Here is a 15,229-nt window from a genome sequence, read left to right on the forward strand (position 1 = left end):
GTTCTTCCAGCTCCAGCAACAGTTTGGTTTTGCTGTGATCTGTTCTTAGCAGCTTCTCTGCTCATGTTCCAGCCTGTGAGGAACAAGGACATCTTGTTATATTTCTATTTGAGCCACTGCAGTTTTGGGGCCCTGTCACTTACATCCCTATTTTTTTTTCTTTGCAACTGTATGGGGCCATGATTTTATCTCCATTTCTTTCCACTTCTTCTTTAAGAAACTTTTCATGCTAATGTTTTGAGTTGTTTGTACACTCCAGCCCTCACCAAGGATTGCAAAGGGCAGGAAGGGCTCTGCTCCATGGGCTAAGGACTTTGTTTGACATCTTCATAACCAGCAGTGCTGGTGGTCACCACACCACGTAAGAGCCAAGGATACAAGTCCCTGTTCAAGGTGGGCAGTCTTTGCTATGCACTCCTTTTTTCAGCTGACACTGTCCATATAAGGCAAGTAGAAAGTGTGAACTGAGCACAGAATAAGAGTGCTTCATTCTGGCTGGAGGAGGGTCAGTCAGGCTTCCTGGAGGAGGCTAGTCTTAGTCCCTGTATCAACACTCAATTATTTGCTAGTAAATTATCAACATTGTGATTTCATCTATAGCAAGCCTTTTTCTTTCTAAATCATTTATTTAAATACCTTTATAAATGTATGAAGTATGTTAAATGCATTAAAATAAATTTAATGAAATCGTTTTTATTTGATAACGGATACAGGACTATTGAATGTTCTAGTCCCGCAGAAACTAAGAATATATGCCCTTGTACATAGTCATCACATAAATGCTGTCTTTGCATCACATGGATGGGGTGGGAGAAAGGCTCAGCCTCAGCACACTGGAAAATGCAGGTGTTTTGCCTCAGCCTAAGAGGCGATGCGGTCCATTTGCTGCAGGAAGGAGCTGGGAGGGACACATGCATTCCTAGGATGAGCATGACAGCTGCCCAGCTCCTCCTGACTCAGGTCTTTAGAGGCATTTCATTATTTCTTGGAAAGTGTTGCAAGCCTTACATTTTCTGACCTATCCATATCAATTCCAGGGCATAGATATATACTAAAGGATGTTTTGATTATCTGTCGTTTCAGATTATCTGCCTTACAGTCGTGGGTGTATACAGAGACATATGCAAACACATCTCCTCTAGTCACACTAGAGGAATTCAGCTGAATTGCCCACCATTCTCTTGAACTGACTGGGTGGGCCATGTTTCCACAATTCTCAGGGCTCGTTCCCACTGTGGCTTGTTTTCTCTTGCTGACCCATGCTTGGTGGAGTCTCCCTCCTCCTTTCTGTAATGAAGATGATCCCAGGCTTAAGGATTCTTCTAAGTCCTTCAGCCTGGAGCAGCCCATGCCTGGCTCTGTCCTTTTGCTTCCTCAGTCACTTCTAAAACATTTTGTGAGCCACATTTAACACCCAGCTATATTCAGTTTAGCATTTTATTATCTACTCCATGTTATCCATCCTGTATTTCAGAGTAGGAGTCTCTTACTGCTTATCTACTCCTTTTGTATTGATGTTTAGTATTGAGCTGTATTCGCTTCACACCCTGCGCAGTGTCTTCTTATGGATGTGAATGACAGCCTTCAATATATGCCAGAACAGTGGAAGATTCTACCCTTTTTTGATCTGATACTTTAGCTTAGCCCTTACTGTAATTCATGACAGAATGGGAAGGAGCTGGGACACCATGAAGATGCTCTTTATCCAGATACTGGGAACATCTGGGTCCCTTGCTGCAGTTGTACATCTGTCACCTGGCCAAAGCTAGGTAGCCCTTGGGGTGTGAAGGTGACAAATGCTTATGACAGGTGTACCATTTACATCATTCCTTACTAGGACAGTTTACTCCAAGGCCCTGCTTATTGCCGCTAAGAGAAAAGTGCTTCAGCCCCAGTTCATCCCTTCTCCAACCAATGGGGTATGGGGTGGGCTGGATAGAAACTGTCTTCTCAGCTCTTTCTTGAATGCACGTGAGCAAATCAACCCTTTTAATTACTTACGTTCTGAATCTCATTGCTCACTTTTTCGGAAAACAGGAACACCCAGAATGACCCCCTCAGCCCCACCCCACACTACACCTTAATAACGTAATGCCTGGAGCTGACAGTTGTTGTGGCATGCAGGAGCCATGCAGAGACAGATGTGACAAAGATGAACTGATCCCATTTTTAAGAGAATGAAATAAGCTCTTTAAAACTAATAATCAGGCTCTCTCTCAGGCTGATACACACTCAACTGTCGGTTTGAAGGATGAGACCCTGATGTGACTTCTCAGCAATGAATGATTCTCTTAATATCTTAAAAAAAAAAAAAACCCAGCCTTCTCATTGCTTCTTTCTAAAGAATTAACTATTACAGGATAGACAGATGAGAGACCTGGGAAGCACTGCTTCTGGAGGGCCTGAAATGCTCAGCTGGCAGTGTCTTAAACAGTTTACGAGTGTAGATGAACCCCAGAAATTGTGCTCCTTGGTGGGATCAGGGTGAAGAGCCACCAGGGAAGTAGCAGACATTCTGCCAAAATAGAAAGTCTAATCTGTTTCTCCACTTCCGTCACCCCGGGGGATGGGCAGACTGGTGTGTGAATGGGGAAGGAAGAAGAATGAGTCAGCATGCTAGGCAAACCTGGGTGTTGCTGCTGCTGCTGCTGCTGCTGCTGCGAGGCTGCCCTTAGCCCGCACTGGCTCTTTGAGCATCTCCGGACTCTCAGCTATTGTTACAGATGTGATGGAGAACCATGGGACGTGCCCTCTGCTATGAATCTTCCATTCTCTTGGCAGTCCAGTTGTATACTGTGCAGAATGAGCTGCCAGCACTGGAAATAACACCAAGGTTGAGGTAAATGTGCAGTATTACAAAGTGTCCAGACTACTTAGGCTCTAACAGCATAACAACAGGTAGAGGACCAAAGAGGGGCATCCAGATAAGTGGAGGTCTGAGATGAAAGATAGATGGGATAAGCATTCTCCTTCCCTGTATGGGTTTTAAGGGTACCTGTGTACAGTAAGCACAGGATAAACATTTGTGGAATGAATAGATGGACAGATAAAGGAGGACTCAGACTTGATATTTGCTGAATGCCCAGTAATAGTACAGAGGGATGTGATTGCACCTCCTTAGGAAGAGCAGGTGGAGAACAATCATATTGATATGTAATTTTTGATAGCAGCAGGAGCAGGAAAACGTAAGAAGGAGGTCATTCTGAGAACAAGTTGTCTTCTTGATCCACATTGCTTTTTATTTTATTTGACTTATGCATTTAGTGTTTATTGTTTCCCCAGAAGAGGCCTGTGCATGGTCGAATTCTCTCCATGGCTGTTCATGATTTAGGGACAGAGCACCCTGCACCCTGCCATGTGTACACTTCTCTTTATGAGGCTTACAACGTTTATTGTCTCATTCCTCCATTTGGCAAGGTCAACATGGCAAATATATAATTTCCATCTTTAACAGATGTGGACCCTGAGTTGGAGACATGAACTGACTTGTTTAGTTTCTCGCAGCCAATGAGCCAGCATGCCTTTTGGCTCAAATTCACCAGCATGACTACCCTTGCTAGATCCCAGCAGTGACATGGCGCTACCTCTGCAAGGGGCTCATGCTTAGTGGCATAGCACACCTCTTTTGCAAAAGGACTCTGCTAAGCCAAGCATGGCCCACTTTTAACTCTCTTCATGCAGTGGGATAAGGGAATTGATCAATTGCCAGCTCACCTCAGGTCTGGGCTGTTTTCCTATTTCTCAAGATTCATCCTTATGGTAATGACATTTTACATCTTAAAATACACTTCTTTGTCTTGGGCCAGATTTCACCAGCTGGAGTAAAGAAACTGTCTTTGGCTCTCCTGGACAGTGTCCAGGCATCTGGAGTAATGAGAGGGAGATGGGAATGAAGAAATGGTCCAACTCTCACGTTCCCAGTTCCTGAAACTGCCAAGGGTTTTGTAAAATTGTAAGAAGTATTTTAGAACACAAAAAACCCATCTAGTTCATTGGTACTCAATTCTGGCAGTACCTTTAGAATCACCTGGAGAGCTTTTTAGAAATGTCAATGCTGGGGCCTCCCCATGCCCAGGGACTCACTTTCAATTGGTCTGGAATAGGTCCTGAGTATTAAATGCTTTTAATAGCTTCTAAGTGATTCTAATATGTAGCCAGGGTTGGAAACTTATGATTTGTTCATCCTTAACATAAAAGTAAGGAAACTGATACCTAGAGAGTTTAAGTTAATCACCCTGTATTAGCTATCTATTGCTGCATTAAAATTACCCTAAAACTTAGTAGCTTAAAACGATAAGCATTTATTACTTCTCAGATATTCTATCAGTTAGGAATCTAGGAGCAGCCTAGCTAGGTCATTCCGGCTCATGGTCTCATGAAGTTGCAGTCAAGGAAGATGTTGGCCATGGCTGTAGTCATCTGATTGTGTGATAGGTCTATGGGATCCCCTTTCCAGGGTGGCTCATTCACACACTGGCAAATTCCTCCCGGTTCTTGGCAGGAGACCTCCAGTTCTTCAGCGCATGGACTCTCCATGGAGTTGTTGGGTTCTCACAACAAGAGAGCTGGCTTTTCTTAGAGCGAGTTATCCATGGAGAAAGTCATGATGCCTTTATGACCTTGTCTTGGAAATCACACCCCTCACTTCCACCACAATCTATTCACTAGACATGAGTCACTAAAGCCAGCCACACTCAAGGGGAAAGGGATTAGGCTCCACCTTTTGAGAGGAAGAGTACCAAAGAATTTGTGGACTTATTTGAAAACCATCCATGGCCAAACTCATGTGACTCCATGTAGTACCCGAGCTACAAGTCTCTTGACTGCTAGTTCAGTGCCTCATCAACTAGTCTCATAATTAATTGATTGACTCTCAATAAGGAAATCCCCATGAAATATTTAAGATCCCATCAATTACCTTCTTCCTATGATTAAGCTGGCTTATCAGCATCCAAGGAAGGGCCCCTCGTTCCTTAGGCATGTGACCATCTCACCCCTTTTGTGATTCTCTCTGACTTATCACCTCTTTTCACCTATTAGAGTTCTCTGAAGGATCGGATTACCTTGCCAGTGGAAATATATGAGCTCCCTGTGTGATATACCATAACTGCAGCAGCACATCATATAATTTTCCCCGAAGGCTTGTTGCAGCCTATGTCGAGTCATTTGTACTTATGACAGCTTGGGCGTGATTTAGTGCGACCTCACTTTGATAAAAGCCATTTAAAGCTCATAAATATGGGTGACATGCTGCCTCCCTGGCTGGGGATTTTAAGGAGAGACTGAGATTTGCATTGCCATTCAACTTTTATTGTTCGGTAAAGAGAAAAGAAAAGAAGAGAGCGAGGAAGTAGGAAATGGGAAGAGAGTGTCCAGGAGGGACTGAGAAAGACAGAGGGAGAAATGAGGCACATTGCAGGTTGCCACTTGGATGGTGGGCATCAGGCTTCCCGTGCTTGCCCCAGGCTCATCTCTAGCCTTTCCCCAGGAGGGCTGGGACATGTGAAGGGCACCAGCTCAGGGGGAGGGCCTGGTGAAGCACACAGGAGCAAATAGGTCACCGGACATTATGAACCATTTACTTCCTCTTTTAAAAGCATTGTTAAATCACAACCAAATTACCGTAAATTGTCAAATTTTATTGAAACAGGAAAGCCCTATAGCTTCACTCTTCCCAGCCCTGCTCCCTGGGGACAGCTTTACTACAAGGTGGAGCAGGTGACTACCCTGGTCATAGAATCTGAAGGGCATCAATCTGGTGCCTTCCCCAAAGAATATCCCACAGTGCCCCACAGGGAATGGGCAATTCCATCATGTGTGAGCCAACTGGTTTTGGTTGGGAGTCCTGCATGGTCTACAGATTCGCAAAAGGGAACCCACTACAGCTTACCAATGAATGCATGGATTGTTAGGGTTAGACCCAAGGGTGGCAGAGGCAGGAGGTGTGTGGGAGGAAGCTGAAAGGAGGGACCACACAGTACACACTTCTCTAGTTTTGTGGGTGGACTTCCATTTGGACACCCTGCTTACCTGTTGCCCTCAATTTCCATCTGAGGAACCAACTGTTACAGATGCAGCCCTGATCCCTCATGTGGATTTCCATTGGCTGTTTAGTCACAACCACTGGAAGATGCTGAGGTCATCAGCCATGACCCTTGAGCTGGCAGAGCCATGGGGGGACTCCTGGGGCTTCCCCTTCATTCTATACACGAGGAAAGCCAGGGTCTGACAGCTGGTCAACCAAAGAGACCGATAGCAGCCAGGCCGCTCAGCCCAGAGCTGCTCTTATGCCATGCAGGCCCTAGTAAGCCAGACCTTTTGTAGCCTGCCAACTCTTTTGCTCAGAAGCAGTAGCTGCAGGGGAGGGACCTGGGAAGGAGGATGATGAGCAGACAGCTCCCCAGGCAGCCACACTGTGAGAGGGGCATGGCACCTCTGGCTGCAACTTGAACAGAGGCCTCACACTGAGGGCCTGAGGGCCACAGTCATCCCACAGACATCTCTCCTTTGAACCACTCAGTGTTTTACCAAAATTTGTCAACATTTGAAAATAAAGAGATTTCTCACCCACATACTCATGCACACCACACCCCTACTAGATTTTTGGCTTCTGTCAACCATCAGCTGGAGAGTTCCTGCCGCTCCCCAGATGACCCACTGCCCTCACAGGACTTGTGTGAACGTGCAGCCTCTCTCCTTTCACAGGTGGGAAGACCGAGTCTCCTCAGTTGCTCCTCTGGGGAGCCAGGTGAAGTTAGTGGCCGAGCAGGGTTCTCCTGACACCCATTTCTCAGGTCCTGCTTGAAAGCCTTGCCCTTCCAGGCCAGCCGCAGTCCTCAGGGTCCCCACAGTGGTCATGCACCCCTCCCAGGTGGCTCTTGGTGGGTCACATGCCTCTCCAGTCAAAGGGGCCACCCTTGAAGTGCAGGCATGTGGAGGCAGTAGGGAGTATGGCTTCCTGGGAGCGGGAAAGGTGATTCATGGTTTATCCATCAGTTTCTCACGTGAGGCTAGGCACACAGTCAGGCTTGGGAGGGTCTCAGTGCATTTGCACTGACTATTTTCTGTAAACCCAGGACCAAACCACCACAATTAAACTCCACAGGCATCTTTATCAGAGTGTCCTCCCAACAGACAGAGAGAGGATGTTATTTTCCACAAATTAAGTCTCCATTTAGGCCAAGTTGCCCTCTCAGGTTCACAAACTCTTTTTGTCTTTGATCCAGATTTTTATTTATCTTTTTACCAAAGGCTCAATTTTCACTCCTGTCATTTTTTTTACATGTGTGTATGGAAAATGGGATCTATTCTTTGCCTTATAATACAGTTATTTGGGATGAGGGAACGTATTTTCTCCCTCAAATAAATTGGTTGTTAATTAAAGCTTTTTGATGTGCTGCAAAAGGAGAATATATTTGATATCAGCAGCTGTGTGCTGTTTGATTTATAGTTTGTGCAAGTGCTGTGAGGAATATCAGCCCCCTTCCCCCATATAACTCCTCCTTCTCTCTCCTGGGTCTCTCCTCCCACCTTCTCTCCCCACCCTGCCCCACCCCACACACACACGTGCACACACGCGCGCACACACACACACACACACTATTAAAACCCTACTGCATTGCTCTGACTTCAACTAGAGAGACATACTTCCTGCTTCTTACTGTCTTATGCAGTGATGTGTGCTCTGGAGACCATGCATGGAGGTGTGTGGAACCTGAGTGTGTTGCAGGAGGTTAAAGCAGAAGCTTAGAGAAATTCTGCAGTCTGCTCAGAAAGGCACAGTTAATAAGGCCAGAGCTGGGATTGGAGGTCAGTTTGGATTGCTCCAAAGCCTCCCCTCATCATGCCTCCACCCACGATCATGAGAAATCATGGGATTTTTCCTGCAGGCTCTTACCAACAAGCGGGAGGGGCAGGCTCAGACATGAATTAGGTGGACAGCTCAGCAAGGCGGCATGTGCTAAGTGCCTCCATGAGGGTTCTCGGTGACTGAAGCTTCCAAGTTCAGAAGTGGAGATTGCTGGAAGTTCTTGCTGTCCAGGGAGGCTTTTCAAGGCACACACAAGCTTCCTGCACCAGACAAAGAGGAGGGCTGAGCTTGGCATCAGGCCGGTAGACAAGAGTCTAGGAAAAGTTTGCTTTCAAACACGGTGTGCTATTCACATTCATGCTTGGGGCCAGGAGAGAGATTGGCTTGATGGAGAGGAGGGTCTTGATGGGAATCGGTGACAGACAAGGTGTGATTATGTGAGGAAGAGTTTTTGTTGTTGTTGTTTTGAGTGACACAAAAGAGTGATATGTGGCTATTCCCTTTCACTATGGGGTGATTGCCAGAGTTCTCTTGCAGTAATTAGAGAAGAGACAGAGATCTCATTTTCTTTAAAACTCAGAGCCGAAGAGGTTTGATTGAGTGTGGTTATTGGGCCAGATGATGCTACTTCTCCCTAAGTTAGTTTCCATGCTCTCAGTTAAATGACGTTCCTGTGTCATGGTTCTTCCACAGTAACATCTCCTGGAATCTCAGGAACCATCCAGCCCCCTTCCACTCTCCTCATTTCCCTCGGCCCCTTTGGAACTGCCTGACTGCAGTAATTTACACACAGAGAACTTTCCAGGAAACAGGAGGCTTCACACTTCATCTCATTAACCTACATGGTGCCAGAGAGCTGAATTCCCATTTAGGGTACCAAGATATTTTGCCTGATGCCCTTCTGCACTCAGTCTCTGGTCTCTGGGTGATTAATTTCCTTGTTGGTTTGCACAGTGCACTGAATTCAAAGGAGGAAGACTGCTGCTGGGGGTCTCTAGGGTCATAGGCCCCCATCTGTTTGGCCCATTTCCATGCATCCAGCACTGCCAGGGGGCGTGATGCTCTCTGCCCTGCAGCTCAGGCCTTTCCCCATGGGCAGCTGGCTCACTGCTCTCTCTAGGGCTTGTTCCATGCAAGGCCGGGCCCCTAACTGCTACTTTCTCATTTATCTAAATTCTCCAGGGAGACCACTTCTAATTAATTACCACCTACCCTGCACTCAAGAGGGAAACCTGCCTGGGGGATGGTGGGAGGGAATCGATGTAGAAATTCTATCAAGGTCTTCAGGTTGCGAGCCCTGTTGATGGAAGCAATACCTCTTCCCAGGGTAAATAAGAAGAGGGCAACTGGCTTTGTGTGACGCTGTGTCTGAATTTGGCTTTCCTTCTGTGCCTAGCAGAGGGGAAGGCTGGTGGTGCCTGAGAGCAGAAGCCTCTGAACCTCAGCCTGGAAACTCAAGGCTCCTCATGTTGAAATGGAAAACCACATTCTTACCTGTTGCCCATGGCTCAATCCTTAATGGGCTGCAGTCTCTCCTCTCAGAGAAGCCAGGTGATGACTTAGGAAGTAACAACAGTGGTTCTTAGCTCAGGCCACACTTCTCAACTGTGAATTTTTTAAAAATAATCCAGATATCTAGTTTTGCTCCTTTATTTTTAAAGTTTAATGCTCCCATAGTATCTTTTCTTGAGATATAATTCACATACTACAAAATTCACTCTTAAAAGTGTGCAATTCAGTGGTTTTTGGTGTATTACAAAGTTGTGCAACCATCTCCACTATTTAATTCCAGAAACTTTCAACCCCCCAAAAGAAACTCATACTCATTTTCCATTCCCTCTCTCCTCAACCCTAGAATACCACTAATCTACTTTCTGTTTCTATGGATTTGCCTGTTCTGGATATTTCCTATACATGGAGTCATATACAGCATGTGCCCAGTTCCATTTTGAATCTGTGAATTGAAATATCTGAGCCTTATATGTTAAAAAAGAATCTCAGGTGATTAGGCACAGCCAGAGTTTGAGTTTCCTGAGCTAGAAATAGGGAAGTGCCCTGCACATGGATGACCCATTGCTCTAGTAAACAGCCAGTGCTCAGGAAGTGTTTGTTGAATGACCAAGTCCACATTCTAGAGTAATCTTCCAAAGCCTAGTGGGATTAGGATGTCTGCCTCCAAAGATACTTACCAATTAGCCCTAACTTCTTCAATAACTGTTCCACCAATATTTTATAGAAATCCCAGTCAAAATCAGTTTTAGTCTCTCCTTTTCCAAATCAATATATTGAATGAGTCTCAAGGGCTGTTACCATCTCCCAAACTTGTCTAGAACTTTTCCACATGGGGCTGAGGCTGGGAGTGCATGAAAGGTGCTGTCCTTTGCAGAGAGCTCTATAATGGCAGGGGTGGTCCCGGTCACGCAAAGAAACGTAACTGAAATGGCCAGACTAGGGCCTCCTGAATGCACCAGGATGAAAACTAGAATGATATTAGATAGAGGAGAAGAAACACAGCCTATAAATATGTTAGAGTTGGAACCCTGTGGGAAGGAAGGTTAAGAATAGGCATAACACTACAGTGATTAGAACATGGTTTAGGGCCAGTCTGCGTGCTCACCATAGGGTCTGTTTAGCAGTCCAATTCTTGCTTCTTCACTTCTGAGGCCTTCTGTTTTCCAATGGAGCCAGTCTCAGCCAGAAGACACTCAGGTCATGCCTGTCTGCCTAGTGCCTTACGCAGTTCTGCCACGGTGCCTGGATGGTTATTTATTACATTAGCATCTCCATCCTTTCCTCCGTGCCTTCTGGGATGAGTGAAGGAATCCAGGGTCAGCTCTTGGTCAGTACCTGCAAAGAAAGAACCCTCAGAAGAACATGGGGGTCAGTGGCTGAGCATCCAAACTTGGCAGTTGTGTGAGGAAGTGGGAATGGCTCGAAGCAAGCCCATCTCCAGGGCTAGAAACACAAAGTAGAGCTCCCTGATGTAGAGACACGCATGCATTGCTTTGTGCAACAGGTACTTTTTGAGCCCCTACAATGTGTCAAGCACTGTGGGGGTAGGGCACTGAATAAAACAAGACAAGTCCCTGTACTTCTGGAGTTTCCACTGAAATGGGATGGGACTGGGGTAGGAGAAGGGAGATACACAATAATTGAGTAACAAATATAGAATAAAATGCCAGTTAGAGATCATGCTACAAAGATAAGCCGGGTCCAGAAGATAGATCTTGCTAGAGGAGAGGAACACAAGCTGATTTGGAGATTCTAGCCAGGAAAGGCCTTTCTGAGCCATGTCATGACCTGCATGAAGTTAGGGAGGGAGCAGGCAGGCATCCCAGGAAAGAGCATTCCAGGCAGAGAAAACAGCAAGTACAAGAGCCTGAAAGCTCAACCCTGGCTCAACATCTTAATGACCCTGGAAACTCTCAGAAATGCTTCAGGGCCAGACCTCACCCTAGATAGGTTTAATTAACATCTCTACTCTCTGAAGGTGTGTGTGTGTGTGTGTGTGTGTGTGTGTGTAACCTATGTAAATCACCAGGTGATTCTATAGTGCAAGTAACTAGGATTGTAAACTACTGGGTAAGAAGAACAGCAAAGAGTCAGTGTGGCTGAAGCCCAGTAAGCTAGCGATGCAGGGGTGGGAAAGATGAGGTAAGCAAGGCTTAGCTAGTTTGGGGAAGGCCTTAAAGCTCATGGTAAAAATTACAGATATTATTACAATTGATGGAAGGCCACTAGAGAGTTATGGGGGAGGGGGCGAAATGAGCAGATTAGCACACCTGGGTCTGTGCCCTCCTATGGAAGTGTCATCAAAGGCTGGGAAGTGGCCTGCAGAAAAGCTGTCTTTGCTCATATGGAAATACACATGGCTAAGCCATGTTGGGTTATATGTGTTGAGAAGAGACATGTATACACATATCGTGGGCTAGAAGTCACAAAACTAGAAGACCTGTGAACTCACCACATTTTAATTTCTCCTCTGGCATTTTAGATGAAGAAGATAAATTCATCTATAGGTGCAAGTACAGAGAAATCCCCCAACTGTCTCATTTCTTCCTGGAGAGGTAACTTAAACAATGCAAACACAATGAAACAGATGAGAAGGGTTGCAGATTACATTTCTGACAATGCATAATCTCCGCTTATTTGAGCATTGTCATTCGGAAGCCTCCCGATGATTCCGGCAGGTCTGGCTTCTAACTCCCCATGGACGGAAAGAGGCATGAAGAGAATTACATTTCTCCAAGGATGGGGCCAGAGGTCACTCTGTGCATTGCACAGCTGGCTCTAGTCATATTGAAGTGCTATGGCCTCAAGTATTACTAACAGAATAGCTGATGGCCCTGTTGTCAGTTTCCTGACACTCACTATCTATTACAAATTAAGCTGAAATTGTGGATTTCCAAAAATCAAGGAAGAAAATCTCCACCTGCTCTCCCCATTCTCATGCATTTATTATTACAAGTCCCTAATACCATAGCCTTGTAAAGGCTGTGGGGATGCAACATGCTGTGTACTGACTGGATGTCTGTGCCAGAACGTCCCCCATCTGCTGCTGGGAGGAGGAAATTGGCACAGAGCCCGTATGCTTCTGTGGACAACATATTAGTAAAATATCTCGGGACCTTTTAGGTAGAGCCTTGTCCGTGTAATGATATGCCAAAAAGACAGATACCTCCATACCTCCACTTCTCAACCTCTGTTCTATTCCCAGATCCCATGATTCAATAAAAATGGCACTGAACTGGGAGTTAGAGACTTAAGTTTTAAGGCTGGTCCTATCACTAACTAGCCTTACAATCTTGAGCAGGTGATTAACCTTTTAGAACTCCAGTGCACTAATCTGTAAAACAAGAGGACTCGATGTGAATATGCCCTAATGTTTCCTTCAGCAGTATGAGCCCGGGATGGTTTCCCTATTTGGCAGGGCACTGAAGTGTGAGTGAGCAAGCGGTGAGGTGGGTGCGGGGTGTGTCAGCCCTGTTCATGCTGCATGGCAGTAGCACATCCGTGACGCCCTCTCTGAAGTGTGACTGAGCCACAAGTGATGAAGGCCATGGGGAAGAGTCCACAAGCACTGGGATGAGAGAGAGAGAGAGAGAGAGAGAGGAGTTCAGCTCTCATCTTCATCACTTTCTAACTGTGTGGTCTTGAGCAAATGACATAACCTCACTGAGCCTCAGATCCCATACCTTCAAAATGGAATTACGGTGTCTATTCACAAAAAGAAATGTGAGGAATAAACAAGATTTATATGATGCACCTGGCACATGTGAACATTTATTAAAAGTTTATTATTATAATCAGTCACCTATTCCATACTGAGTAATTATTTATTATTTATTCTTTTGGGGTATTTGGTTATCTTCCAACATGACATAGAACTCAGCAAGAGAAAGATTAGTTCTTTTAGTATATGCTTCTATTGCAAATGTTTCTAAATTGTTCCTGAATCTTCCCCCTTGGCTCTCACCTCCAAAACTTGATCATTCTTGGTGCAGAGGACCCCACAATGTTGTCCAAAAGTTGGATCTGGAATGTTTCTTTAGCACTAAATCAGTGATAAAAACTGCAACATTAACTCATGACATACCATGGAATTTGCATTCCAGTCACCCATTGGGATCTTTAAAAATGCATACAACTCACAAAGGACTCTTGTCCATGTGGAGAGATTAGACTTCCCCTTCACTCAAGGGGGTCGTCAGTCCCACCCAGCATTGACATGCACCCAGGTCATGTGTACAAAGCTTTAATTCGGCCCAGATGGCTTCTTTTCTTTCCTTTTTTTTTCTTTTTTTTTGAGACAGAGTCTTGCTCTGTTGCCCAGGCTGGAATGCAGTGGTGGGATCTCGGCTCACTACAACCTCCGCCTCCCTGGTTCAAGCAATTCTCCTGTCTCAGCTTCCCAAGTAGCTGAGACTACAGGCGAACGTCACCATGCTCAGCTAATTTTTGTATTTTTAGTAGAGGCAGGGTTTCACCATATTGGTCAGGCTGGTCTCGAACTCCTAACCTCAGGTGATCTGCCTGCCTCAGCCTCCCAAAGTGCTGGAATTATAGGTGTGAGCCACAGCACCCGGCACCAGATGGCTTCTTATATCAGGAATAGGTGGAAAATCCCCCAACTCCTTTGCTCTGAAAAACCTTTGTATAAAGAAGCAGCTTTCCTGGCTTCTTGGTTCCCCAACTTCTCCTGCTTCCCAGACCTCTAGGCAGCCTCACTGACCATGTCAAAATTAAATCACAGTAGATGTTCATTCCAAACCCTTTGTGTTTTTTATTCACCAATTGGTAGACACCTGTCTATTCTAGCCAAGGAGAGTGCTTAGTTCTGGAGACAGGTGCATACTCATAAATGCCTATCTCCTGCCTTCAAGGAGCTCCCAGTCTCCTATCAAAGACACAGGATCTATTCAACCTTGGGATCTATTCTGTTAGGTGTGGAGGGGGTCCTGAAGTGCACTATGTAACAGCTGTCCTCTGGACCTTTGGTCTGGCTGATGAAGCGGGGCACATATTGTCATCATCATCATCATTATCATTATCATCATCAAAAGTTAAAGGAATTATTTACCCTTCAACCCAAGAGCCATCTGAAGGACAGTATATGCTAAGTGGTAAATAAGTGGCATAGATAGAACATGGTAGACCATTTCAGAGAAGGAGGGCCCAGGAAAGCTTCCTGTAGGAGGTGAGTCTTCATTTGGATGGTAGTGATGTTTATGATCTGGATTGGCACAGAGAAGTGGGATATCAAACTTTACTCAGGCAGAGTTTATAAATAGAGGATGAGGTCTGGGCTGAGATCTTGCTGTTTTAGGGAAATGCAACTCAGAAAGTTACCAGAAGTGGTGGTCAAAAGAAACATATAAACTGGTAAAACACCTGGACTCAGCTCTTCTGGCCACCTTTGCATCTTTATTGTTCTTTCTTCTCCCAGCATGAGCCTACACGGTCTCTGTACCAGCTGTGCATCACTTCAGGTGACTTCCTTTGTCCCTTTCTCTCTCCTGGTCTCTTCCTTTTCCCCTCTCTCTTTCCTTCCTTTTACACACACAAGTGCCAGCCAGGCACATAATATGCTTTTTTTTTCTGGATCTCATTGTCCTCTTCAATAAGATGAGAGAGTGTTAGAATCCTTCATGAGTCTAACATTGAATGAGTCCTGCTTGCTTTCAGTCTGCCATCTGCCCCATTCTCTAGGTTGGGAATGCTAGCCTCCAGAGGTGAAACCTGGGCCATGGGCCTCTCTGGGGACCTCCTCAAGGTTGCTAAGCCTCACACCGGCGAGGCTACACTTGCCATCCCTGGGCTCTGCTCCTGGAGCCCACCCTCTTTCTGAGTGCCAACAGCTGCCTGCCCCATGCCCCAGGCTCACGGCCTTCCACGCCCTCCCAGGTGCAGGCGGTTCTA

The 15,229-nt window shown here is 45.7% G+C and overlaps 1 protein-coding gene across 19 annotated transcripts in view, besides 1 other annotated feature; it reads left to right on the forward strand.

Annotated features, from left to right (window-relative positions):
• Positions 1-15,229, forward strand: part of SETBP1 (SET binding protein 1) — a 388,438-nt gene that overhangs the window by 156,700 nt on the left and 216,509 nt on the right. The window lies entirely within an intron of this gene.
• Positions 2,697-2,846: an enhancer, noted in NCBI's record as "active region_13257". NCBI's record gives its function as "activates an Ori minimal core promoter by ATAC-STARR-seq in GM12878 lymphoblastoid cells {active_cell/tissue: GM12878}" and the evidence as "EXISTENCE:reporter gene assay evidence [ECO:0000049][PMID:35858748]".

This window comes from Homo sapiens, chromosome 18 (assembly GCF_000001405.40).
Source record: "Homo sapiens chromosome 18, GRCh38.p14 Primary Assembly".
NCBI lineage: Eukaryota > Metazoa > Chordata > Mammalia > Primates > Hominidae > Homo > Homo sapiens.